Source organism: Homo sapiens, chromosome 11 (assembly GCF_000001405.40).
Source record: "Homo sapiens chromosome 11, GRCh38.p14 Primary Assembly".
NCBI classification, from domain to species: domain Eukaryota; kingdom Metazoa; phylum Chordata; class Mammalia; order Primates; family Hominidae; genus Homo; species Homo sapiens.
Window position 1 is genome coordinate 86681560 of NC_000011.10, and position 2568 is coordinate 86684127.

The window sequence follows — 2568 nt, forward strand, 5'->3', positions numbered from 1 at the left end:
TGGCTCAGCAAGCCGGCAGTGGTGAGATACCTAATGAAATGGGGGGAAACCCCTTCCTTTCAGGAAGAAAACCATTAAAAAAGGATGATTGTACTTGGCAGCCATATTTTTACCCTCTTATTTTTCAGCTTTTATCAAGCCTCTTGTTAAAAAGGACATGTTCTCCTTTATAAGAAGAATGTGAGAGACTGGATTGATAAACAGCCCATATTCTGAGCACTAGAGCTATCGTAAAGAGAAAGTTCATGGCAATTAATAGATTCTAAGAATTTTTTATCTAATCACAAGAACTGACAAGCTCTAGCCAAGCCAAGAAGATAAAAATCCTAGAGAAAATAAGAAAGGATTTAAAATAAATGAGAGTTAGTAGAAAAGCTATCAAATTGGAACAGTATGTTTGCATTTGTAAAATCTTACTATTCTATATATAGAATATGACAGGATATTGAATGGGATTTTTCTTATTATCTCAGGATTTCAGCTAAAGCTGCAAGCTAAGGTTAATAGGTGGTACCCCACATTCTATAAAGAAACCAAGGAGCCACCAGACATGGTCTCCAGTGCTTTAAGGAGTGGCCAAAGGGATCCTCCAACTCTCACCCCCACCACGCCATGAGCAGAAGGCTAGACCCCATGGCTGAGGAGAGTGTGTAAACAAAGAATGAATCCACCAAGGGGGTCACACATGGAGATGAGGTCTGCTCTAAGAGGGTACCCGGTGTCTCAGTCTCTGGCTAGAGGCTTAGCAAGCTGCCCAATTTGGGAGGGCCACCAGGATGGACTGCCATGAGGCAGCTCATGAGAGAGGCTGAACCATGGCCCTGGAGGTAGGGGATTCTGTAGGCAGAGGCGGACTAGAGAAGTCAGTGACTATGGGAAGAAAGAGAGCAGTTTCATGGTGGAGTGACCTCCTCCTCTTCACAATGGCTAGGGTGAGTGGAGATCCTTGAAAGCCAGGGAATACCATAGAAAGTAGCTGAGTCGTTTGAGGGTCTTGCACCCATGAGGGGGCCTGTTTGGGGGAGGAAGTTGTAGCAGTAAGAGGCTGTGGAACTTGTCACCCCAGCTGGAACCTGAGCAAAGGGTCACAAGAGGCCAGCCAGGGAGCTCTTTTCCTAAGCTGGGCCCCTTCAAGGGCATCCAAGAAAACCTGCTCTTGCACCCAACAACATAGCCAGCTTTGGGACACTTGCCCACAGAGGGCATCAGCAGCCATGAGAGAACTAGAGCACAATCTAAATGAAAAGATTTTTTGCCCTTTAGCCTCTTGAATTAATTTCCTAGGGCTGCTATAACAAATTATTATAAACTTGGTGGCTTTAAACATCAGAAATGTATTTTCACACAATTCTGGAGGCCATTCAAGGTGTTGGCTGGGCTGTTCTCTCTCTCTCAAAGCTCGAGGGGACAATCTGTTCCTCACCTCTTTCAGCTTTTGATGACTCCAGGTGTGTGTTGGCTTGTGGCAGCACCTGTCCAAATGATCTCCACAGTCACATTGCCTCTTCCTCTTCTCTGTGAGCTTCTCTTATCTATGTTTCTTATAATAAGTCCCTATATTTAGGACCCTCCTGGATGATCCAGGATAATCTCAACTCAAGATATTTAACTTCATTACTTCTGTAAAGATCTGTGTTTCCAAATACATTCACAATCACAGTTCCAGGAATTAGGATATGGACAGATCTTTTTGGAGGTTACAATTCAACTGCCTACATTCCTATCCCCGTTTCCTCCTCCAACCATGTAGGAATCAGAATTAGCAGGATGAGGGGAAAGAGGAAGGAAGCACAGGTTGTGCCCCTCCCTCACGCCTAGGGAGGCTCCTCATTCCATGGGAAGCAGGCCCAAGCTTGGGAGAAGAAGCTCTGAACTGAATGTGAAATTGGAACTTTACATCATACCTCACTAAACTTTCAAACTGAACTTTGAAGTTTTGAGATCTGCCTGAGATTTTCTCAAAGGTCATGAAGGGGAGACTGGACCAAGCATAACTGAAGACAGTGATGGGAAAGGATAAGACAGACATTTCCTGTTGTATTCCATTGAGTTCAGTATATTCAATAAAATAGTTACACTAATATTAGTTAAAGCTTATGCTTTTCTAATATAAGAGATCTGGGGGTTTTTTTTAATAAGAAAAGCACAATTTAGAGGCGAAGCATGCTAATACGTATTTTCAGTGAACATCATATTAGGAAAGGACTAGCTGTTTGGAACAAATATCTATGGAAATCTAAACTATAAAATTGTATTAAATGCCAATCACTGAAGCGAGAAGAGTAAGAATATGCGGTTCTTTTAATAGCAGATACTCTTGTCCACCTGCCTGACCACCAATTTCAGATGTGGACTGATAAGGAAAGTACAGTGGAACTATTACCTACCTCAGTCCATCAAAATTCTAGTAATGCAGCCTCAAATCACCTCAAACTTGCAAGAGCTCTGTCACATTGCTGGCTACATTGAGTTATTAATGGAAACCCAAAGGTCAGATGAATAACTAATGAGGCAGCTGTCTATTTGAACAATTGACAATCTTTTTTTGGGATTACAAAAACTTTAAAC